The sequence below is a fragment of the Homo sapiens genome, chromosome 7, assembly GCF_000001405.40.
Source record: "Homo sapiens chromosome 7, GRCh38.p14 Primary Assembly".
NCBI lineage: Eukaryota > Metazoa > Chordata > Mammalia > Primates > Hominidae > Homo > Homo sapiens.
Genome location: NC_000007.14, coordinates 90,467,370 through 90,492,151, shown reverse-complemented (window position 1 = coordinate 90,492,151; position 24,782 = coordinate 90,467,370). Strand labels below are relative to the sequence as shown.

General features: G+C 37.4%; 1 protein-coding gene across 1 annotated transcript in view, besides 1 other annotated feature; it reads right to left on the bottom strand.

The window, feature by feature from the left end:
• Nucleotides 1–22,513, bottom strand: part of PTTG1IP2 (PTTG1IP family member 2) — a 43,759-nt gene extending 21,246 nt beyond the window's left edge. The window contains exons 1-4 of the mRNA NM_001365443.2: nt 22,221–22,513; nt 12,878–12,924; nt 4,732–4,825; nt 3,188–3,281 (exon numbers count right to left, since the gene is read on the bottom strand). Coding sequence (NP_001352372.1) covers nt 3,188–3,281; nt 4,732–4,825; nt 12,878–12,924; nt 22,221–22,365 — 380 coding nt within the window. The 5' untranslated portion in view covers nt 22,366–22,513. The remainder of the gene's footprint in view (nt 1–3,187; nt 3,282–4,731; nt 4,826–12,877; nt 12,925–22,220) is intronic.
• Nucleotides 17,043–17,337: a silencer, noted in NCBI's record as "tiled region #14602; HepG2 Repressive non-DNase unmatched - State 24:Quies". NCBI's record gives its function as "represses a minimal TATA promoter and a strong SV40 promoter by Sharpr-MPRA in HepG2 cells {active_cell/tissue: HepG2}" and the evidence as "EXISTENCE:reporter gene assay evidence [ECO:0000049][PMID:27701403]".
• Nucleotides 22,514–24,782: the final 2,269 nt, after the last annotated feature.

The window sequence follows — 24,782 nt, the reverse complement described above, 5'->3', positions numbered from 1 at the left end:
TTTTATTTTTTTATTATTTTTGAGACAGAGTCTTGCTCTGTCACCCACGTTGGAGTGCAGTGGCACGATCACAGCTCACTGCAACCTCCACCTCCTGGGTTCAAGCAATTCTTGTTCCTCAGCCACCTAAGTAGCTGGGATTACAGGCACTCACCACCATACCCAGCTAATTTTTGTATTTTTAGTAGAGACAGGGTTTCACCATGTTGGCCAGGCTGGTCTTGAACTCCTGGCCTCAAGTGATCCACCCACTTCGGCCTCCCAAAATGTTAGGATTATAGGCGTGAACCACTGCACCTGGTCTTATGCAATATTTTATCATTGCATTATCAAATTCTTCTTTTATCCCTCCACCAGGAGAATTAAAACATTTAATTAAGAAAAGCAATTAAAATAAATGGAATATAATTTAAAATATCAATAAGCTAGCAATAGAATTAACAATTGCTTGTTTACTTGTCTGTGTCCCCTTAGTAAGTTATAAGCTCCATGAAGGCAAGGGTTTGATATTTCTTTTTTTTTTTTTTCTTAGATGGAGTCTCGCTATGTCACCCGGGCTGGGGTGCAGTGGTGTGATCTCAGCTCACTGCAACCTCTGCCTCCAAAATTCAAGCGATTCTCCTGCCTTGGCCTCCTGAGTAGCTGGAACCATAGGTGCGTGCCACCACGCCCAGCTAAGTTTTGTATTTTTAGTAGAGATGGGGTTTCACCATGTTGGCCAGGCTGGTCTCGAACTCCTGACCTCAGGTGATCCACCCACCTCAGTCTCTCAAAGTGCTGGGATTACGGGCGTGAGCCAGCACACCCGGCCTGATCTTTCTTGCTTATTGTTATATCCCTATGACAATGACATTGCTTAGTGGATAATAAATACTCAATAAATATTTGCTAAAAGAATAGATGACAATCAAGGAGGCATTGAGTACATGGACAATGAAACACTTGTTTTCTCTAACATTTGGAACTTTTTAAAGTGCTTTAATTTTTATAAGCATAACTATTGAACAATAATATTAGATCAAATGTACCAATAAGTATTTTGATATTTCATTGGTCATTCTAGGGTATTTTTTTAAAAGAAAAAGTCATGTTTCTAAAACCTAACCAGGATCTTTGGTTTATGAAGTACAGTAAGTCCTTAAGAAGATAAATACCCCTACAGAATACAGCACTCATTGAATTAACAAGGTCTAGAAGATCTCTTGAAGAAATTCAGAAAGAAGAGATGGTGGATATACAGCAGAGTTAAACCAGAACTGAGTACAGTTGTTGGATGATATTTTCAGAGAGACTTCAGGGTTTTTCATTTAAAATGCGGACAAAAGAAGCTTCAATGATGGATATTTGCTCAGGCCCCTACTCTTATGGGCAGAATTTGCCACTTTACTCATAAATACTATATAAAAAAGTGATGACACTTACAAGGAGCTAGGATCCTAAGAAGAAAATATATATTTAAAAAATTACAAAACAGCCCCTTGCCACATATGTAATGTGCCCTATTGGTTCTTCTTTCTGATTTGTATGTGTATATGTGTATGTTTGTTTCAGAGGGGAAAAATAAGGAATACCTTCCATCCTATCCTAACTTGTCTTTGTATGTTAATAAGGAAAAGACCATCTCTAAGCCAGAAAAATACAAAGTTCCTGACCAAGTTGAGGTCCTAAACAAGCAAATGGAACATTGGCCAACCCTTATCTTTTTTTTTTTTTTTTTCTGCAAGCACTATGGTGACTTACCTTATCTTTTTATAAGCATATTTTACTTACAGGTTGACCTATAAATGTGCATTTATCTTATTTTTGGGTCACGTCTATCTTATTTACAGTTCCTTCTTATAAAAAGTGTACAATCTGAAGAAAGAAAATAATATCATACTGGGATGAAGGAGAAAAAACTAATTTGTTGATATGTAATGGACTATGCAAATACTCTCCAAACCTTCTGTGAACTCCCTTTGAAAAATTTACTTGAGGAGGTACTCCACCAAAAGGAAAAAATCAACCCTAAAAAGAGGTATAGGAACCACAAAATTCTCCTAATTCAGTAGAGCAGTAAAAAGAAACTAATTTTTGCATGTTAAAGCAGGAAGCCAGAAGACTTTAAGAAGAATATTTATAAGAAGAAAATGAATGTATTTTAGCAAATACAAAGATGAATGATCACAGTGATGAGAATAAAGATACATGTGTTTTTGTTAATGAGAAATAATGAAGATAATTTAAAACTCTAGAAAGTGCAAAAGCTGTATAGGAAAGTTACAATTAAGTAACATGAAGTAAGCTGAAATGTAGCATGATTTTGTGAAATAAAGAGTAAGAAAAGAGAATCTATTTGATCTTGGCACTTGATAATTCTTTTTCAAGCAATATAGGTTAGTGGCATAGAATTATATTTCCTACTCCACTTTGGTTCTTTATTAAACAACATTTATACAATCATGTATAAATATGTTATCCTTTTTAGTAGTTAACAAATTTTAGAGTGAAATTATAGAGTAAGCATTTCAAGATATAATTATGGCCACAGAACAGAATGTAAATATTACACATTTGACAAGGTCAAATTAATGAGAAAGCTTATAGAATTTAGGAGATAGAGGAAAGAGAGGATAAATGGAAGGGATCCAAATTTTCTTATGTGTAACAGGAGAAGGATTGAGACATAGAAACAAGGAATTAAATTGATTACTCAAAGTCAACAGGAGAAATATTAGTAATCTTAAGATCTAATAACTAAAAATAATGAAAAAAATAGTAACAACCCAAAAATAACACAATGATAATACCTACTAATAGCAAAAAAAATGTGTATAGTGCAAGATAAATTTTTCTGCTTTAATGATTGGGGGTCAATAGATAACATCTAAAATTAATCATGAAAAGAAAACATAACCATCAAAATCAAATATATGGAGGTAACTACAGAAGAACAACAAATAGAACCATACTAAAAGGATTACTTCTGGGAAGACAGTGTTAGAGGTGGGGTGGGGGATGAGAAAGTTAAACTTTTTTTTTTTTTCATTTTACAATTTCCGTACTTTTTGGACTTTTCTTCCTTACCATGTGGATATATTATTTTTATTACATAAAAAAGGCAAAACATTTCCTGATGACTAGCTTAGTATTCTCTTCAATGATATTACCCCAAAGTGCATTCTTAATAAGGATAAAATGAGCATACTCCTGCAGGTAAAAGTGATAGGCGCAGCAGTACCAAACGAATCCTGTAATTAATACTGCAATGAGTAGAAGCATCATGATTCCAAACATGTCAACTGAAATGTATAAAAAGAAATATATTTTAAGTTAACAGAACATCAGTAATTTCTGCTATTTGCATCTTTTCTAATATCATGCAATGTGATTCTTTAACAAATGATTATTGAAAGTAATGATACAATAACATACATTACATATTCCAATAAAACTACCATTAACACAACAATCACTAACATTTAAAAATAATCTGGGTTGCTAGAGGAGTTAACATTTGATTTACTTATTTTTAAATTGGTGAACTATTAGGCTACTGGCTTAATTTTTCTTTATTTTACCTCTAAACTCATTTCTGGTACTATCTTAATAGGTAAAACAACAAATCCCTCAGGCTGTTGTATCTCTAAAGATACATCTAGATAGCAGGAAATGATTTATTGTTTGAATTTCAGCAGTCCATTACCAAAGAGACAACCAATGCTTGCTGCAAAACCAGATTTCTACCCCTTGTAAACTTTTTTTTCTTATCTCAGTAAGCACAATGTAGTTTATTAGCTTGGTATGTTGTAAAATGAAACTAGAAGGGCAAACATGAAATAGGAGACTAGTTCATACTAGTTACAAGAAGTGTAACTTCTTTATAAGGCAAAAACATGCATGATTTAAATATATCTGATAGTACCGGAAAGAAACAGAGATTTGAGGGCAAAATTTATATCTTTTTACTTCAGTGAAGGAAAAAAGAAGACAACTGGTTGTTCTAGATTGGGTTTTTTCACATAGCTAGGATTTACCTAGAAAGCATTTTGTTTCAATTCTTTAAGGAAACTTCTTAAATGGTACTGGTACGTTTTCCTGCCTTGGTAAGTATTGTATAACGTACCAAAAGTCCAACATTTCAGTATAACTTAAAGATTCTTTGATGATTAATATTTGTTCAGTCCTAGTGAATCATTATTCTGAATAGCAATTCTCAGTGTAGAATACATTAGCTGAAAAAATATAAGTTATAGCAATGTTTCTAGATATAATATATCCTCAGACCAGGACTAGCTTATAAAAAAAATCCTGGAATTCCTAAAATGACATAAGAATACAAACATTCTTTAAGTGGGTTATGGATATCATACACTAGAGATTTTAGAAATGGAAATTTAAAGTATTTAGCTACTGGTATGCCAAAGCATCCACCAATCAAAATGAATGTTGACTTAATTTGAATGAATAATTGCTGCAAACAACCAATAAGCCTACATCAGGAGGAAAGACCAATGAACATCCCTGGACTTGCTATATTTTTATTTTTATTTTACTTAAAGTTCTGGGATACATATGCAGAACATGCAGGTTTGCTACATAGGTATACATGTGCCATGGTGGTTTGGACTTGCTATATTTTAATATGTAAGGCAAATGTAATAATTTATAATCCTTCAAATGTAGCAAATCACTAGCATTTGCAAGTCAATTGAAATAAAGAACATAAAAATCTAAATAAGGACAACTCACCTTTACAGTTTAACCAATATATAGAACTGAATCGACAACCGAAATAGGGAAAACAGTATTTTTTGCATGCTTTTTCTTCACTACACCAAACACACTATATTTGGAAAGAGAAAAATAAAAGTGGTGTCCAAGTATAATAACCACAATCCCAGGAAGTTTTTAGTATTAACTCAATAAGTATTCAATAAATAATAACCATTATTATTATTATTTGTAGTAGATGCCTTTGGTAACTTATTGAGATCTCCTTTGTCAGACCCATGCATCCAAACCTCAGCTGCAAAAAGTTTTGGCTCCCAGTGGCTCACAGCTTCCCCTCTTCTTGGACGACGATAGGGACCACCTAGCCCACAAGGTTACTATTTCTCCAGGCCAGTGACTGACTGACATGGGGTTCCAAACAGTGGGCATCCTTGCCTCAAGTGAGGAACAACTCTACCTTGTGACTTTTTTTGCCCAAGGGCTGCCCATGATTCAGGCCAAGAGTGAGATTTAGCTAAGACCTCATCTTTTCTTGGCTCTTGCCGCTTATCTTCCCTGAGTCTGTCACTCCATAGGATTTTTGCTGAAGAGCAGTCACTCAAAAATCACATGCACCTGAACCCCTTTCTCAGACTCTAGGTTTAGGAAACAAAACCAAAGATATTATTTCACAAAGTAGTAATAAGAACTGAGGTAAATGGTTTTTAAAATCTCTCTATCACTCTTTCCATTCCTCTTGCCTGCATCCCCGACTCTTTCCTTTGGGATTGCTCCTCTGTTACACATGGCCCTGGTGGTACTGTCAACAAGCCTTACCTCACCCCTCTCCCCACACTGCTCACTGGTGCTCAGATAATCATGCAGAAATAGGAAAATGGAATTCTAAGTCCCTTAAGCAAGGCATAAAGGTGAAAAACATTATGGGAGGTAAAACCAGAAGAACTTGGAAAAGCAAAAAAAAAAAAAAAAAAGGAAGACAAAGCAGTAAAAATGGCTGTCACTTACATAGGGCCTACCATGTGACAGGTACTATATTCTAAGTCCTTTATATATATATATCCACTCACTTCATACTCATGACAACCCGGTGATCTAGGTACTATTATGTCCACTTTATAGATGAGAACAAGAAGGTGCAGAGAAGTTAAATGACTTACATAAGATTGCATACCTAGTAAATAGGGGAGCCTGGGTTCTAACCTAAGTAGCATGGCTCTGTGCTGGTAACCAATCCTGTAAGATTGAACCCAGACCCCACCCAATCACTTCTTGCTGTACATCCTGGGACCAGCAGAGGTAATGATTCACTCCAATGTAAAGAACCACCCCTTAGACACTGCGTAAGTACCAAGGGTATATCACAGGCCAGCTTTTGTTTCACACTGGACAAGATTAACGGTCAAATCAAGCCATTCAGTCAAATCTAAAATTGAAGCCACTTTCACTGAATGAGTCTTGTCCTCCTGGACGGTTGCCGAAAGACTGGAACTGCAAAGATAAAGTCTAGATTCAAAGATTACAGCCCACAGAGACTTCTGGCCTTGGTTGTTAGTACTCAGAGTGTCTAGGAATCAAGTCCAAGATCTAGCAGGGTTTTAAGGGAAATGAATTGCCAGAAAAAAACCTGAACTTGCAGCTAAGAGCTATGCGCACTTAAGTGCTAAGCTGATTCCCAGGTTCCAGTAACCAAGTCCACCACAGGCGAGCTCCTAAAGAAGTGCAGGCCCCAGAAGAGACAATCTCCCCTATGCCTCTCTCTGGTTGGGGCTCAGAGAATAATGGAAAAGAGACTCCTTTGGTAGCAGCTAGACTGGTGACCAACAACTCACTGCCCAGCCAGGGAAACTCAACAATGTATTACAGACTTGGAATATATTATAGGACTATTGGCCACTATCCTCCTTCTAAATAGGAGTGTTTACTGTTGTTATCCGGCTTTCTCTCTTCTATTGAATAGTGGGTCTTTGAGAGTTAGTTTAACTGATTATATAGCTAACTTGAAGGAGTGTGTGGAGCTGTATTCAAACACCATCAAGAGTAATGCACATCTCTCAGAGATTTCAGACTTAGAGCTGGGGGCAGTAGCTGATAGTGACCTTGGGTAAGTCCAATTGCAGTTGAGATTTAGTTGCATTATTTTGCCAGGAGCATTTTTAGGAAAATATGGGGATGGATGGAGAAAATAGAATATGCCTGTCCTGAAAGGTCAAGGGGGAAAAATAGTAGACTGAGGTCGTTTATTTTTAAAATCTGTCTGCTACTTTGTGTCCCCATTCTTCTTTTTCTGGTAATCACACCCTTTTCTACTGAGGACCTCTTCCCCAAGCCCTGTGTGGTCCTGTGGCTGCCAATCAGTTTTCCCTCACCCTATTCCTACTACTGGAGTAGTCTTTTGACCCAGGCAGTAGCCTAGTAACAAATGCTGGACCAGACATAAAACCCCAATAGGGCCAATCAGAATCTTCTTTGAGTTACAACTATTTAAGTTACAGACATTGGGTTAGATCTGCTGGCAGTCAGCCCCTTGCCCAGCTGTATGCAGAATGTCCATTTACCACAAGAGAAAAATAAAGTCAATTCCCAGAGGGAGGCAGAGCTGAGAGATGAAAGAAAAGAGGAAAATGAGAAAGACATCCTTTGGTTCAGTTGTGCAAGAAGGCAAGGCCACACCTGGTCTTCCCAATATTGTAAGCCAATGAATTCCCCTTTTTATTAAATTAGTTTGAGTTTGGTTTCTGTCCCTTGCCACAAAAATATGTGACTAATACCTTAACTACATCTAAAAAGTTATCAAAGACCAGAACTTCACATTGCCCCCAAGAACAGTATAATATATTCAACATTCCTAAATTGGTAATGTATAATTTAAGGTAAATTACATGATTTTTTTCTTGTAACTAAGGAAAATAACCCATGTAAATATGAAGCCATCAGCCTTTTTGGAGTGTGACAACTGAGAAGCCAGCTAAAAGGCTTTAGAGTGATGGCTATTATGTTTTCATGGGAAAATTATAGTACTCATTTTAGGGTAGAGCTGTTTTATTAAGCTTATATGGACATCACAATTGCTATTTTAATAAAAATATCATTAAAATCAAAACATGCAGAAAGTGGGAAGATACATAATAATTTTTAGTGGTTTAAGATTGTATAAAGCAAATGGCTTAATATTATGCCAGTGGTTGGGGGATGGGATGTGCAGAAAATCCAGGATTTTTCCAGGTGAAAGAAAAGAATGGAGAGCAGATTCGGGGAAAAAAGAAAAAAAAAAGCCAATGATTTCTAAAATTATGGGATATTGGTACCAGAAATAAACAAGTAAAGAACATGAGCTTCTTTGGGGAAGGCAAAATTATAAACTTAGTTAAAGAAATTTTGAGCATGATGTGATTTAAAAAAAAAAAAACTATCCAGAAAGAAATGCCAATCAAGCAGCTGTGAGCATCACCATTGGGTGTCACTAGATTTAAGGATGTGAATTTGGGATTTCTTTATATGCAGGTTGTGGTAGAGACCAGGACTGTGAAAGATGTGGCACAAGAGTGAGGACACAGTGTGAAGAAATGTGCTCATTTAGGAAATGAAGGAATGCGCTCCTTAGGAATTAGGAATGTGCTCATTCAGGAAAATGAAGAAGAGGAATTGGTAAAGGAAACAAAATGGTGAGGGAAGAAATAGGGCCTGTATAAAGCCAAGATTGCCAAGGAAGGAGCAAGTTTCCAAAAGGAATGAGTGATTAATTTGAAAGGTTTTTGCATTTGGTTATTGAGTCTTTTGTAACCTCTAAATCAGGTTGCTAAGGATTAAATCACACTGTGTGATACGGAAGCAATGGTAGAATAAGCACAGAATAAGTACTTCAGCTTCTAGAAAGAAACAAAGAGAAGATTTGGTTTTGTTTGTGTTTTCCATTTTGTCTGAACTCAGAAGGAAGCCAATGCACAGAAATAGGCTGGATTTGTCATAGAGGGAACAAGGAAATGAGAAAGGCTTTGAGTTTGTGAATGTGCATGTGTTTCCAAGTATGACACATAGATAGAGGCAAGGACTAAGGGATTCACCTCAGAAATGAGAACAGACTTCTCAAGGGGAAAGTCAATGAAAGAGAAAAGATATTGAATTGGTTCAGGTGAAAAATGAGGAAACTTGAACCTGTCAGATGGTCTTAAAATTCTCAAGGAAAGTCAAACCCTGAAAGGAGGATCATGCCAACAGTGGTAAAGTGCTGGGAATAGTTGCCATGGGAAATAATCCACGATACTGGTTGTCCATATATTTATTCCAGCTGAAGGACTCCCAACAGGTGATATCCACATGTTGACTGCCATATCCAGATTCGGATCCATCACCTTGTCCATTCTCCCAGACTCCATGCCCTACCACACACACACACACAATTTTTCAGAAAAATAAATATCAAAGTGAGCATCTCTTTGTGGGTTGTAAGGTATGACATTTATAAATGCATTTTACAAGCATCTGAGTAATGGTCATTTCCTATGAACTGTGCAATAGATAAAGTAGGCTGCAGGAGATTCAAAAATCCCACTGGGCTTGCTGTAACTTGACGCCTTTTTGTCTCAACCAACCATCCATATCAGGTCACAGTTAGTGAGAAAGATGTGATTATGGAGAAAACCTAGTATCTACTCTGATTTTAAGTCAGTTGCAACAGTCTTATGATGCTCATTAGCAAAAAGCAAAAAAATGTACTTATGACAAGTCTTATCATTGTGACACCATGATTGAGAACTTTCGTTCCAAGGATTCAACAGGGATGCATAACGACTGAATAGCAATAAAAGCACAGATTACAAGATGCTTCTCCTTTTTTAGTTAGCCTGATTTTTGAAATTTTATTTCTAATATAAAATATCAAGAAAATATAATATGTTTTTCATACGCTATGTTTATGAGTTGTGTGGGGGGGGGGTTGTAAATGTGATTTTTATGAATGAGCTTTTGGTAAGAATGTTTTCTAACTCTAGGAAGGCTAGTCCTACACTATGAAATCACAAGGAAATGTTTCAGATAGAATCTAAGGAAGATTCCCTTACAGTTAAGAAGAATATCATTTATCATACAAATTGGAATATTCTGGGAAATGAAAAGGAGTTGGTATATATATTCTCTCCAAGTCCACGGAGAAGTGGACATAAAGTAGCACAATATACCAAGACATCTGTTTATCCTCCTTTTAGTCCAAAAAGAGCTCAAATATTCTCGGTTGCTTCATGAGTTACCATCTTATAAACTCTGGCACTTTCTCTGGGAGTATAGGAGGTGGCAGAAACTACCACTGAAAGCTTTGCATCCTTCCAACTTCTGGGAGGGCAGGGGATCTTTCTCCAAAGGATAATACCCTAATTCTATGTTGACCATGTGGAATTATCTTTTAGTTCATTTCTATGAGGTACTGGAAATATTTTAAAAATTACACTCAAATACACATATTCCCAGTATTTCCATTATAAATGATATTTAGAAAATTTTAAAAAAGTATCTATCATGTTACATTATAGAGTATACTGAATTAATTTACCCTTCTTTGAATGGCTCAAGAGTTAATTCAATAGTTATTGAATGCTTGCCATGTGTGGGAAATGTGTGAGGTGTTAGAGATACAAAGATGAATAAAAAAACATGGACTCTGTCCTTAAGGAGCTGAGAACAAGGGGAAGGTGAACATAAAAACAATTTAAATGATACGAGTTACAATTCAAAAATGTACATGTTCAAGTCCAAAAGAGAAATATAGGGGAAGTGCAGGGGGTATTCTTCCTCTAAAAGGAGGGATAAGAATAGGTAATGATGGGTAAAAATGACAGCAATGTTATCAGTTGGGGAATGAAGTTTATACCTAAGGCCTCAATTTTTTCCATAAAATTGGAGATGAATACATCTGTTGATATTGATGGGATGGGGAAATTGCTGCTGTGGGAAATTTTAGGCAATATTGCTAACCAAAAGCAAGTGATAGGTAGTATTTGGGCTCAGGTGAGACCAGAAATTGTGACTTTGTAGCTGTATTCATGCAGATGTTGATGAAATATGCTCAAGCAGCAATCAGCTAGTAATGCACAGCAAACGAAAATATAAACCAAAGGACCAATCAGAGTTGCGGAATGTGGGTCCAGTGCCGTTAAAAATAAGAGGGTGTATGCATTGCATGCCTGTATCAAAACATCTCATGTTCCCCATAAATATGTACACCTACTATGTACCCACAAAAAATAAAATTTCAAATTTAAAAAAAGAGATCAAAGCCATTAAAGTAGTGGTTTTTACAACTCCCAGGGAAACAATAGATCTAGGCAAGGATCATTGCTAATATCATCAAATGCTAGACAAAAAATCTTATCTACCTCCTAATGAAGGGCCTCTCAGCATGAAGCATTCCTACCAAAAAATTAAACAGAATCTGATAAAGCCTTTATATCTAATTATCAGTTTATAAGAACAAAAGAACAGGGAAAAGAGGAACATGATAAAAGTCCAAAATTAATCCAAATCCTTTTGGGATTAAGTCTAAAATTAATCCAAATCCTTTTAGGATGTGACCAGCAAAATCCAGACTATGAGAAACCAAATAGGACAATCTAGTTTCTCCAACAAGTAAGTTGCAAAAAACAAAATAAAAAGGGAGAAGGGACATATAGATTAAAAGATACTTAAGGCACATATCAGCCAATTGCAATGTATGAATGTGATTCAAACAAACAAACAAAAATGACTCAACAAGACAAATTTATTATTTTCTGGGTGCCTGGTGAGATTAAGATGATATTGTTAACTTTTAGATATGATCATGGATGAACTTGTAATATTTAAAGTAAAATATCAATTAGAAATATATGCTTAAATATTTTTAAATAAAATGATATGGTATCCATATCATCATTTGCTTCAAAATAATACATTTAGAGGGGAAGAGCATACATTAAAAAAATTGACCAAGATGGCTCTTCGGGGTATAAAGTTTTATTATATTGCTTTCTTTATTGGTGTATTTGAAAATTTCCTTTATAAAACATTTAACGACAACAAAAACTGGAAGAATATTGTATTCAGGTGAACAACCATGAGAATTCATAGAAGAGAAGGAAGTCTATGGAAGAGGGCCAATAAACTGAAGGGAAAAGAAGAGTGTTAAAGGACTGGAGGATGTTCTTGTCTTGTTGAGGCTAAAGAGTAGGTACAGTATAAGGGAGTGAGAATGTAAGAGCCAATGTAGATTGTGCAGGGTTCAGAGATGCCACAGAAGTGATGTCTTACTACACAGGGTTGAGGAAGGCAGGGTTGAGGAAGGCAGGTCACGTATCTAGACCCCCACCAGTACTGTATAAAGAGTATGTCTGGGTCATCGCTGGCTGTGGAAAGCATGTAAGGCAATGGTAGTATGAACTGGCTGGAGAATGCCATGAGCCAGAAGCCCAGGTCCTCATTAAAGTAGACGAGTGATAGACATTTGTCTTTTTAGAGGAAGATAAGACAGGGCAGAGGGTGTATATCTAGATCACTATGAGAGACACCAACTACCAGAGTGTGCCCTTTTCTAAGTAGTGACTTCAAGCTTCTGTTTTTAGTATCGTCTGTTATCCAATACAAGTTAGACTACAGTGGTTTTTATGTGGCTTGCTGCAAACCTGTCTGTGACACAAAGTGGCCATTTCCCTCATAACTTATAGCATTTCTGCTTTCTTCCAAATCTGAACTGAAGAGCAATGATTTCAGACATTTAATCATCAAAGAAGAGGACTCCATCTACACTGTGGTTAAGGAATGGTATGTCATTCTTTCTAGTCTTTAGGAAATAGAAGTGGGAAGGAAATTGTCACCACATCTCAAAAGATATATCTTTTCCTTTACTTACAAAAATTATTCCAAAATTTCAGTATAATTTTTTTCAAGCAAATAATTCTTTTCTTTTTGAAGCATAATTTTCCAGAGGAAGTACATGTTTGTACTTAATTATCTCCATTGTTTATTTCTAGATCCTCAAAGAATGGTTTGAAATGCATAAATAGATCTTAATAACTGTTATGAGTCATTCTTGTTATAAAAAATGTGTAAAACAAAGTTTAGCATATCTTTTAAATGACAACTGTAAATTGTGACTTTATAACATTCCCAGAACAACTTCCTCATAAGAAAGTTAACTTACTTTCTTATCTTCTGTGCACAATTGACAACTCTTCTTTACAGCACATTCTACAATTAAAAAAAATTAAGTCCAAAATTAATCCAAATCCTTTTTATTGCTCAATTTTACATAAAAGTGCATTTCATTTAGTAATTCCTGTTTTAAGCCATAGTCATCCATACCCCAGCATTTTACTTCATTATTTTCATGTATCTAGATCCCTACCAGTACTGTATAAATCCTCTTAGTTTTAAGTCTTTTCTCCTATTTCTTGGAAAAACATGAAATAGCATCATCCAACTTTGATGAGCCAAGTTCTAAAAAACAACCCCCAAAACATAGTAAGGAAAAACAAATTGGCAACTCCATTGTATTTTAAAATATCATGTGCTGTTATTCAGGATGGTATTGCCAAGATATTCTTACTTAACTAATTAACCCTTTAAATAGTAAAAAAAAAAAAAAAATTAATTCCCTATCTTTTTTTGCCACAAAGCTTTAAAAACTTTTCCCAAATGAGGATTTTCATTCCTCTAGTTTTATGGAAAAACAAACAGTATGATTTATATTTGAAAGTTCTAGAATAAAAACTATGAATTTGGAAAAAAGCATTTCAATGCCTCATTTTATTACTGCAACATCTCCTTAAAGAAAGGGTCTGGAATTAATGTCCTAGTTGTTTTGTGATACAGCAACAATAAAGTTGCTCTCTCTATTATTTTGGGGACAGAGTTCACAGGCTCTGTGGGAAAGGTCAAATCTTTCTATTTAATTTCAAATTGTTTGATTGGATGCAGATCTGATGTGGCTGGGGAAAAAATTTTACAGTTCAGTTTTCAAATTAAGTCCTATTGAATGTTACTTCCTCCTAGCCGAAAGTATCCTTGAAATACCCATGGGAAAGTTGAGTGAAAGAAAAGGCAAGGTGAATGGTAAAGATTCTGCTGCCTCAGCTATGTGAAGGACAGCTGGCCTCAGGCTCCTTTCGGAAGGCAGAAACAGGGAAACAGAGGACACATGACTTGGCCACTGTTCTCAGAGCTCTACATGCTTCCCACAGCTTTTTTGTAAACTAAAGTTTTTATTTTTGTATAATTTCAGATTTACAGAAAAATTGTGAAGATTCTACAGGGAGTTCCTGTATACCCCCTCACCCAGTTTTCCAATTTTTTCTTTTTCTTTTTTTTTTTTTTTTTTTTGAGACGGAGTCTCACTCTGTCACCCAGGCTGGAATGCAGTGGCACGATCTCGGCTCACTACAACCTCCGCCTCCCAGGTTCACGCCATTCTCCTGCTTCAGCCTCCCGAGTAGCTGGGACTACAGGCACCTGCCACCACGCCCGGCTAATTTTTTGTATTTTCAGTAGAGATGGGGTTTCACCATGTTAGCCAGGATGGTCTCGATCTCCTGACCTCGTGATCCGCCCGCCTCAGCCTCCCAAATGCTGGGATTACAGGTGTGAGCCACTGCACTGGCCCTCCTATTGTTAATACCTTACACTACCATGGTACATTAATCGAAACCAAGAAACTAACACTGGCACGTGACTTTTAACTAAACTCCAGATTTTATCAGGATTTCACCAGTCTCTACACTAACGTCCTTCTCCTTTGCAAGATCCCATCCATACCACATTGCCTTTAGTCATCATGTCTCCTCTGGTCTGCGACAATGTCTCACTCTTGCCTTGCTTTCATGACCTTGACAGTTTTGAGGACTACTATCCTCAGTACTTTCAGATATTTTGCAGAATGCCCCTCAACTAGGATTTGTCTGATGCTTTTCTCCTGATTAGATGGAAAAAGAGTTTTGGCTAAGAGCGAAGAGAGGAAGTTCCTTCCTCAACACATTATGTCAGTAAATAGCCTGCTCTGGTTCCATGGTTGAGGTTTAGATTGAGCATTTGTATAACTAACAAGCCATCTCTTTAATACTCATTTTTGCCCTTATTGGAAAACTAATGAGGGTACAGCTGACCTATGTGTTACATGAATCAGTAGGTTCTTTCTTCTCTTCTATTCCTAAAGAACGAGGTTCTAGCTATTTCCATGGCATTACCAGGTACCAGATTCTTTCACCCTCAAGGCCTGATGTTTGCATATATGTTTTCTATCTGGTTACTTCTTTGCTCTTGATTACATTTTTCGTGACTTCTGTATCATTTCTCCTAGCTCTCTTAGAACATCGCTGGTCTTTCTTTTTCAGTTTCTTCAACTGGTTCCACTCCTACCAATGTCTGAAATGTTGTTATTCCATAAAGTTCCATCCGTGATCCTCTTCTCCCATGAAGAATCACAATTTCAAATGCCTAGACATTCCTGGCATAAAATATATTATGCAAAATATCAAAACAAAATTTTTTTATTGGCATTGCAATAAATTAATAATATAAAAATATAGTTTATCCGCAAGGGAAAATTTTTCAAGAACAGCTAAGAGAAAAAAACAATGGGGAGTATATGTAAAATAACAAGATTTTATATATTAAAATTCTTCTTATATTTTATTTACCTGTTACATCTATTTTAAAACTATGTTGTTAGGTGAATAAAGGTTTGTCATATGTCATCTTGGTGTACTGTACTACATGTCAATATGGAATATCACTTTTTCTTTGACTTAATGATTTCTTTTACTTGAATTCTGTTTTATATAATATTGCTACACTTGCTTTCTTTTTCAGTAGCATTTGTAAGGTATATCCTATTCCATCAATTTATTCTTTATTCCTTTATTTCCTCTAGTGACCTCAAAATACACATTCTATTTCTATTCTTGAGCTGTTATTTTAAAAATTTGGGGAGATATTTTATATGCATCTTTCTATCATCATTTAATCAGGATCTACATTCTCAACCTAGACAAAGATCCTAATATGTTTTTACTCTTCTCTTTCTCCCCATGCCACTTCCCAGTTAAATAATTTTAACTTTAACTATTTAATAGCAGTTAAACTTCCATATGATTTCTGTGTCATATGGATTTCAGAAATCAGATGGAATTTTAATTACTATTAAAGTTATTAATGATTATTTGACATATTTAAATTGCTGTTGAATTATAATAAATTATTTAGAATTAACTCTTCATTTTACTAGTTTCTTTGCTTACTACTCTTTCTTGAATCCCACATTTTCCCCTTGGATTCATTTTTCATTTTGCTGGATATTATTGAGTATTTTTTTCAGATGTCTGTGAATGATAAACTCTTTGACTCTTCAAGTGTCCAAATGTTTTTATTTTGTATACCTTCTAGAGCACAGCTGGCTTAGTCTGTTAATATGTTCTAGTTTCGACACCATTTTCTTTTCTTCAAAACTTTAAAGATATTTTTCTTTTTCTTTTTTTTTTTTTTGAGACAGAGTCTCATTCTGTCACCAAGCTGGAGTGCAGTGGCGCGATCTCAGCTCACTGCAAACTCCACCCTCCTGCCTCAGCCTCCCAAGTAGCTGGGACTACAGGTGTGCACCACCACGCCTGGCTAATTTTTATATTTTTAGTAGAGATGGGATTTTGTCATGTTGGCCAGGATGGTCTCTATCTCCTGACCTCGTGATCCACCCACATTGGCCTCCCAAAGTGCTGGGATTACAGGCGTGAGCCACCACGCCTGGCCCAAAGATATTTTTCTGTGTATTTTTCTTTAATTAGTTCCTCTCTTCCATTTCTCTCCTCCTGAAACTCCTATTACATTAATGTTGGCATGAACTCTTGTCTCTTTTTTCTACAGGCTATCTCTTGTTCTTTTGTACTGCATTCTGTAAGAATTCCATGGCTCAATTATTGAGTTTGCTAATTCACTCTTTAGCTATGTTTGTGTTGATTATATTTTTAATTTCCAAGATTCATCATCTTTTCCAGAATAGTCTGTTCTTGTTTCATGGCTATCTCCATGAGAATACTAATTATAGTGTTGAGAGAGACATACATCCTAGACCCTGAGCATCTCTGGATTTCCTTGCTCAATGTGCCAAACTTCTTGGCGTAATTATCCTCTGACCCTGCACTTATTCTGTATCTGGTAACATAGTCAATTAAATAGGTCAAGGCAACCACAGTGTGACTATAGTCACAATTACTCCCCAGGGACTAGATTTTTTACTGCTTGCCATAAAAGTTCATAAGCTCTTAGTCCTGGGTTCCTTAGCTCCAGTTCATCTGGCTGCATTCATAAGCACAATCTGGATACATTGCATTGCTCCATGGGACTTGGGGGCAGGAGATTTGGTGCTGCCATACTGACGTTCCTGCTGTTGGCTGTGCTATGAGTAATAAACCGTCTGGCACTGATCCATTGAGTCTCACTGTCTACTTTTAGCACCTTTGGAGTTGTGGCAAGCCAATCTACTTGCCAGCTTAGTCATTTCCTTTGGAATCTTGTTAGTCCTTGCCATTTTCTATAAGAGAAATTTCTAATTTTGAGGTGTTTTTCCCCTCTCTTAAATGTGTTTTAATAAATTGGTTCTTTTCTTTATTGGATTTCATGATTCTTGATTGTGTTAGCACAATCAAGTTAAGATTTAGGTGTATGTATATAGGCTATTTCCACCTCTGTGGTGTGGGTGAGGACTGGGACATGCTGCCAGATTCAGTGTGTTGGTAGTATATCTTTTCCTGCCCTTCCAGGCCAATAATTCACACTCACTGTTAACCTGGGGCAGTTGCCTCTGCTGCCTGCTTCTTGAGATAATTTGAGAAGGTGGAGAGGCAACCAGCTATAGTGCTCTAAGATCAGCACCCAGGAAGCTGCTCCACAACTCCCTCCTGCTCTTTGTATTCAGTGCTGCTGAGCTTGGAGCAACCCCAGAAACCACTCTTACATTAGTCTTCTCTTATGTGTGTTTTAGGCTGTGGCTTTCTCCATTGGTCTGATCTGAATTGCTTTCTGTTTCTCAGGGATTCTTAACATTTTCTGGCTCTCATGTTGTTTTCCAGCACTGTCATAATATATATCTCTATAACTAGTCATGTGCTGCATAACTATATCTTGGTCAACAGACTGCATATAGGACAGCCATCCCTTCAGATTATAATACTGTATATTTTTACTATTCCATTTCTATGTTTAGGTAAGTTTAGATACACAAATACTTACCATTGTGTTACAATTGCCTGCAGTATTCAGCATAGTAACATGCTGCATAGGTTTGTAGCCTAGGAGCAATAGGCTAATCTAGCCTAGGTGTATAATAGGCTATACTATCTAGGTTTGTGTAAGTACACTCTATGACATTCACACAATGATGAAATTGCCTAACTATGCATTTCTCAGGATACACCTCTGTCATTAAGCAACACATGACTGCATAATGTTTACTGAAAACTTACCATGTACTAGAAAATGTTCTGAGTGCATAACACAGATTAACTCATTTGATCCTCACAACAACCATTTACAGAAGATACTATTTTATTCTTATTTTACTGATAAGGAAATTGTGACACAGAAAGCATGGGCCTAGTAAGCAACAGAGCTGGGAGGTGAGTCCAGGCAGTGTGAGCTGCTGCCTGTAATAACTGTGTTCTTCTGCCTCTCTGGTGAAACAAGTACTGTCAGAGAGGCGCAGCTAAGTACAGGAGCAACTATTCACTCAGATTTGGTGGACTAAAGGAAGGCATCATAGAAGAGGTGGAATCTGATCTAGGCCTCTCAATATCAGAATTCAGTTTTACATCACAATTCAGTATAATGTCAAATCCCCCATTTCTGCTAGTGGCAGAAAACCATAAACTTGCAATCTAAGTTCAGTCAATTAATTCATCCTCCTTTGAATAAACATTTAGCTAAATGTAGGGTTTGCTCCTTCCCCATTTACCTTGGGGATGCTATACTTTTCTGGGAGCAAAGCCTATGTGTTGCCCTGGCACTAGGGTGTGACTGGACTGAGTCCCCTCCTCCTTCCTTGCTAGCCTCACTGTGTGAATCTCACCTGTCCCCTTCTTAGGGAGTGTCATGTCTAGCATCTGTGGTCCTGCTGTGGTTTCTAGACGTGAGGTCCAGTATTCTCTGTGAAAGACCTTTCCCTCTTCAATTCTGCCAGCTGTCACAAGAGCTGCCTTGTCTGTACCCCACCCACTATATTGGGAATTTTAGGGCTCTCTAATCTTTTCCCTACAAAATTCTTATGTCCAAGGGATTATGACATGCAGTCCTTGAGTCCATTTGCTAAGATACTTCTTCCTGCTACTATTACCTACTGTTTGGGAGCCATGTTAGCTTCATGTTATCTATGAGACCAGTGGATTCAGAGTAAACTCTAGAAAGTGAGTCACAAGTTCCTAATATTTTCAGATTCCCCTTCAACCCATCTGAGATTTATATTATCTCACCCTTCCTTTACCTCAGCCAGAAGTGGTATACCAGGTTTCTCTCCTGGTTCCCCATCAGCATTTAAACCTTAGTGTCAATGCTGTAATCCTCCTAATACCTGCCTGCTGGTCAAAATCTTAAAGCACTTTTTGTCTTAAAGATGGCTATATGAAGTTAGGATCCAACCAGGAAAATAGAAATCACTCTGTGTATATATAACACTGGGAACTTAGTACCGAGATTGGGTATGCAGGTGATGAAAGAGGCTGAGAAGTTTACCAGGGGAAAGAAAGCGAAGTCCAACCTCCTCCCAGATAACAGTACCCCCTAGGCTAGAGGACAGAGGAATGAGGCAGCTACCAGAGCCCACCACAATAAGTAAGCTTAGAGTATGTGACAAATATTCTTGGTGTGTTCACCATTAGCAGAAATAAACAAATGAAGAGAGAAAACTCGGAAGCCTTGCCTTATATTCAAATTATTTGGCCTTCAATTTATTTCCTTGGAGCTATCTGCCTTTTAATTTCATTCTGATATCTTGCTATCGACTTCGAGGCTTGTTTCACTGAATATTTCTCGTTTGATTGTTCTCTAGCTCAAAGCACTTGTGGGAAATTTTCATGTTTCTTGAGTTGTGTTCTCTTCTAGGGTAGATTATTTGGGGTGTGTGTGTGTGTGTGTGTGTGTGTGTGTGTGTGTGTGTGTTTGCATGCTATCGTATACTCCTTTATTTCTTTATTTTGCTGTGCAGGGTTTACATAGTTGCTCTATTGTTTTCATTCTACTAATGCTTGCACAGCTCTGTTCAGACCTTCCATTTGTTCTGATATAGTGTAGGTGAGATCCTAACCACCTTACCATGATCCTTGAGATTTTTTTCAAGAAGCTACAGTTTTATGGCATTTTATGTTCTATTCACTCCATTGTTTTCAGCATTAGACAAGGGGGAGAACTCAAATGAGGCTGTGCCAGGCTTTGTTAGAATATCTGACTCTGCTCTCTCTTTTGAGGTTTGTCATTTTCCAGTGCCAAGGTTTGCTAGAGCTTATCAGAGGTGTTTCCCATTTCCATGAAGGGGTATCTTTGGACTCTAGATCCACCCTCAAATCCAGCTTGTAACGCAGGAACCTGAGTTTCCTTCAGAGAGTCAGGCCCTCTCTCTTCAGGTCCTCATTCCACCTATTTCTCTGCAGTAGCCATTTCCTCTTCTCATCTTCGGAATAAGAAAAAGAATGGATACCCCCTCAACTTGTTTCTCTCCAGATTTGGGAGAATTAATAAAAATTATTGGATTATAGTAACTCACTAGTTACCTCTAAGGGAGAGTGGCAACATTTGGAGTCTTGCCATGCTGTGCTATTCTGTTCTGATCTAGAATCTTCCAGTTCTTTCCTTAGTTGCCACTTATTTTTTGCACTATGCCCCTTTGTTGTCTGGTTACTTTTAGTGAAGAAAATTCTCTAGGTTTCAGTATATTTTTTAATCCAGTCATTAGATTCTAGAAGATTAACCCAAAGTTGCATCAAGTGCTTTCTATAATTTCTTGAGATATTGATTACTAAGCTCTCAAATGTAAATGAACATCAGAGATAGAAGTCCTGGGGATCAAAACAACCTGCTTAGGGGGAGGTCTCACTTGATGTGCAATCCTTCACAAAGTCCTGTCTGTTGCCTGTCACTTAGGGCACAATCTGGGACATAGATGAGGATCTCGTGAAGGCTTAGAAGCCCCTTTTCAGTTTTGGAAGTGAAAAGTATCATGATGTCTAAGAAACCATATCCTTGTTAGATGGGAAGATTAAATGCAAGCACTAAGGGGAACTGGCCTGAGACTAAGATGCAAGCATTCAGGAGAGGCCCTTGGCAGGCAAGGTGTTTCCTTAGAAACATGGGCTCCAGTTGGCCAGCCCTAGAAGTGAGCTAGCTAGCAACAGAAACTTCCATCTTTGGAGATTATCTTAGATGTGATTTTTGATTTATTTTATTTGTTTTCTTTCTTTTTTCTTTTTTTTTTTTTTTTTGTTCTTCATCAGCATTTTGATAAAGTCTTAAGACGTGAAAAATTTCCGGTATGAGTCCAGTTTGCTAGGGAACAAAAGGAAGAATTTGTTTTTATGTTTGGGCCTATGCTTTCAGGTGCTGTTTGTTGGGAGAAGGGGCCAGGATGGCACTGGAACACTATTTCTCTTAGAGTATGTATAGAGGTGACCAAGAGGTTAAAAAAGAGAAATCTGTGGGAAAGATGAAACCAAAGAAAACAAGCTAGCTCTTTTAATTCAGCGTCGCCCCAACCCTACCCCCTCGAAGGAGATTCTTATTTCAGTGCAACGCTGAGAACTGTGGATTTGGTTTTAGTAAGGAAGACTGATTTGCTTACAGATACTAACATTCTTTTCTACTCTGGAAACCAGACAGCAGTAATTATTCTGTCTCATTGTCTTTGTAAAAATGGCAATCTTGGCTTTACAGGGCACTTTCCAAGTAATTCAAATTCTGTCTCTTATTTTGTCTATACGGTTCCAATTTAGGATACTTAAAACCTTATTTCCAGGTTCATGAATTTAACTCAGCATGACTTTTAACATTTCAAAATTTTTTCAATTTGGAAGGAAATCGAGAGAGGCCTCCAAACTGAAGTAATTTTTTTATGAAAAAGAACAAATAAAGCATTTTATTAACTAAGACCTTAAAAAACTTAAGAAAGAGGAACTATGACCATTGAGTGGGTCTGATTAGAACAAAACCCAATGGCTTATTCACAACAAAAAGCTTATATGTCATAGGTCATGCAGAAAGTGATGGGGGAGAAACCATGCTTTTCCTCAAATTTAAAACTTTGAATCTACCTTTCATATTTCAGATAAACCAAATTAATCTGAGTCCAATTTAACTGAGTTTCACCAAAACCATCTAGAACCTTTAAAATGTCTTCCCACCAACACCAAATGACAACTTTTGAGATGAAAATTCCAGTGCACCAGGATGGCACCATTAAAAGGAAAAAAAACGCTGGAGCATGTGGGGCACCCACCTCAGGACTCCAGATCACTCACCCTCTTCATTCCCATCTCTTGGTTTCTGATTGTTCCTGGGGCTGTGGATAAAACCATTCTCTGAGAAGCTGATAAGCAATTGGATGAGAAAGAGGGAGAGGAAAACTGGCAGGAGGATCTGGCCCCATGCCCGCAGCCAGCACATCTCTCTTCAGACCTGGTGACCCCAGCCACTGGGAACCTGGCAGGCACCAGCTACAGTGTTGGACACTGAGACCCGCCCAGAGACTGTGACCTACCACAGCCCTGGGTGCTGAAGCTGCCACTTGCAAGCCCTGGATGCCAGCATAATCAGCAGAACCTTAGAATCCCTAATGTTCTAGCCAGAATGTAGAATGTTCATAGTGCAATCCTCGTCGGCACTGGGTCCAGCTTCCTGGGCCCTGAATACCATGTACAGTTGGTCCACTGGACTTGACTGAGGTCTATTTCTCCCAAATCAACACTTTTCCCTACTACATTGTTGTTTTTTGGAGAAAGACCTGGATTCTAATTCTCACTACTTGAATATGTGTACAGAAGTTGCACTCTTCCATGCTGCCTTTTCTCTGATGTAAATGAACCTACCACCCACTGCACTCCATGGGAGTGGTTGTGCGATCAATGAGTGGTAAGGCCGTGAAACTCACAGCTCTGTAAACCCTTGGTCTTGTCCTTGACTAGCCTGGTGATCCTATTGACGTGCTCTAATGCAGTTTCCTAAAGGTAGGTATGTTTTGGGTAGTACATAAATGTCTTTTATTTTCATAGTTATGAATTTATTTTAATGCGTATTGGAAAAATATAACCAGTAGTTACAATGATGTAATAGCAACGATATATGCTTTTAAAATAAATCTGTGCAAAAAGGACAATTTTCAGAAATATAAATAGTACACAACTTAAAGGATATGGCAAAAATTGGGGAGGTGGTTCCAGAATGACTGAAATTTGAGCAATCTTGCCCCAGTATGTGTGGTTGGGGAGGGGTAGAGGTGGGTGATGAAAACTTGTCCTTGACCAGGAATTATCTTGTTTTGTTTTTCAAAAACGATCAGGTGGGAAGATCGCTTGAGCCAAGAAGTTCGAGGCTGCAGTGAGCTATGATCGCATCAGTGCACTCCAGTCTGGGCAACAAAGCAAGACCTTTTCTCTAAAAAAATTATTTAAAAAAATTTAAAAAACAAATGTTGCAGTTTTCCCATAGTATTCCTGGCATATTGATCTAGACTGCATCCTGAGGACTATGGGTCTAGTATGGACAATAAAGATGGAGGAGGAGAAGATGTGCAGAGTTCCAGGCTAATTTTTCTTCACCCATTTGCAATGCAGAGGACAGACAGAGGGTTATTAGCTATAATATAAAAAGTGCTTTTATAAATTGACAAAAAAAAGGACAAAAGATAAACAATAGGAAAACGGACAAGAGATGTGGAGAATCCATGGACAGAAAAGCAAATCCAAGTAGCCAATGAATATATGAAAAAAATAGTTTAGAAACACTAGTACTAGGAACTAGGAAATTATAAATTAAAACTAATAATGTAAACATCAGGTAGGCAAGCATTTAAAAAGAAAACTAAGATATCATTGGTGAAGTTGTGGGGGAAAAGGTACTATTATACTTTTTGGAGGAACTGTAAATTGTTACAGTGTCTTTAGAAAGCAAACTTGTTGCTTTCTAAAGCAGCCATTAAAATGAAAAATACATATATTCTATGTTCATATTGTTTCTTGGAGACCTGCCCCTCATTGCCTCTCAGTTCTCATGGTATGGGTGGAGTTCCAACTCCTACTTTGGAAGTAGGACATGAAAACTACACCTGAGCAAAGCAGGTCATAAAACTTCCCTGGCCACCATGCCTGGCTCAGGAGTGGGGCACATGACCTAGGTTGGTCTAATCCAAGTCAATCTCAGAGCTTTTGCTAGGAATGCTAGGATAAAGATGCTTGTCTTCCTCTGGATTCAAATTTGGAAGGACTTAGTCTCTGTAGCTGCTAAAAGCCATCATAAGTCTATGTGGGAGATGGGCACGTTGGCTCATGCCTATAATCCTAGTACTTTGGGAAGCTGAGGCAGGCAGATTGCTTGACTCCAGGAGTTCAAGACCAGCCTGGGCAACATTGTGAAACCCTGTCTCTACAAAAAACAAAACAAAACAAAACAAAACACAAAAAATTAACCAGCATGGTAGTGTGCACCAGCTACTCAGGAGGCTGAGGTGCAAGGATCACTTGAGCCCAGGAGGCAGAAGTTGCAGTGAACGGAGATTGCACCACTACACCCCAGCCTGGGTGACAGAACAAGACCCTGTCTCAAAATAATAATAATAAAAGAAAAAAAGACTATGTTGAATATGGCCATTAAAATGCCCATATCAAATTAAAATTGACTGATGGACTCAGCTGCTGTCCCTCAGATGTATCCACCATATTCATCTCAAGGCCATGCTTCCTACAAGCTACTCTCAGGCAAGACTAAACATGGGAAGGAGTACTAATATGGGATACTTTTAGTGGAAGATTTTGGCTTGAAAATTCCCCATCAAAGTGGTTGAAACTTTCTTAGAATTGTGCTGCACT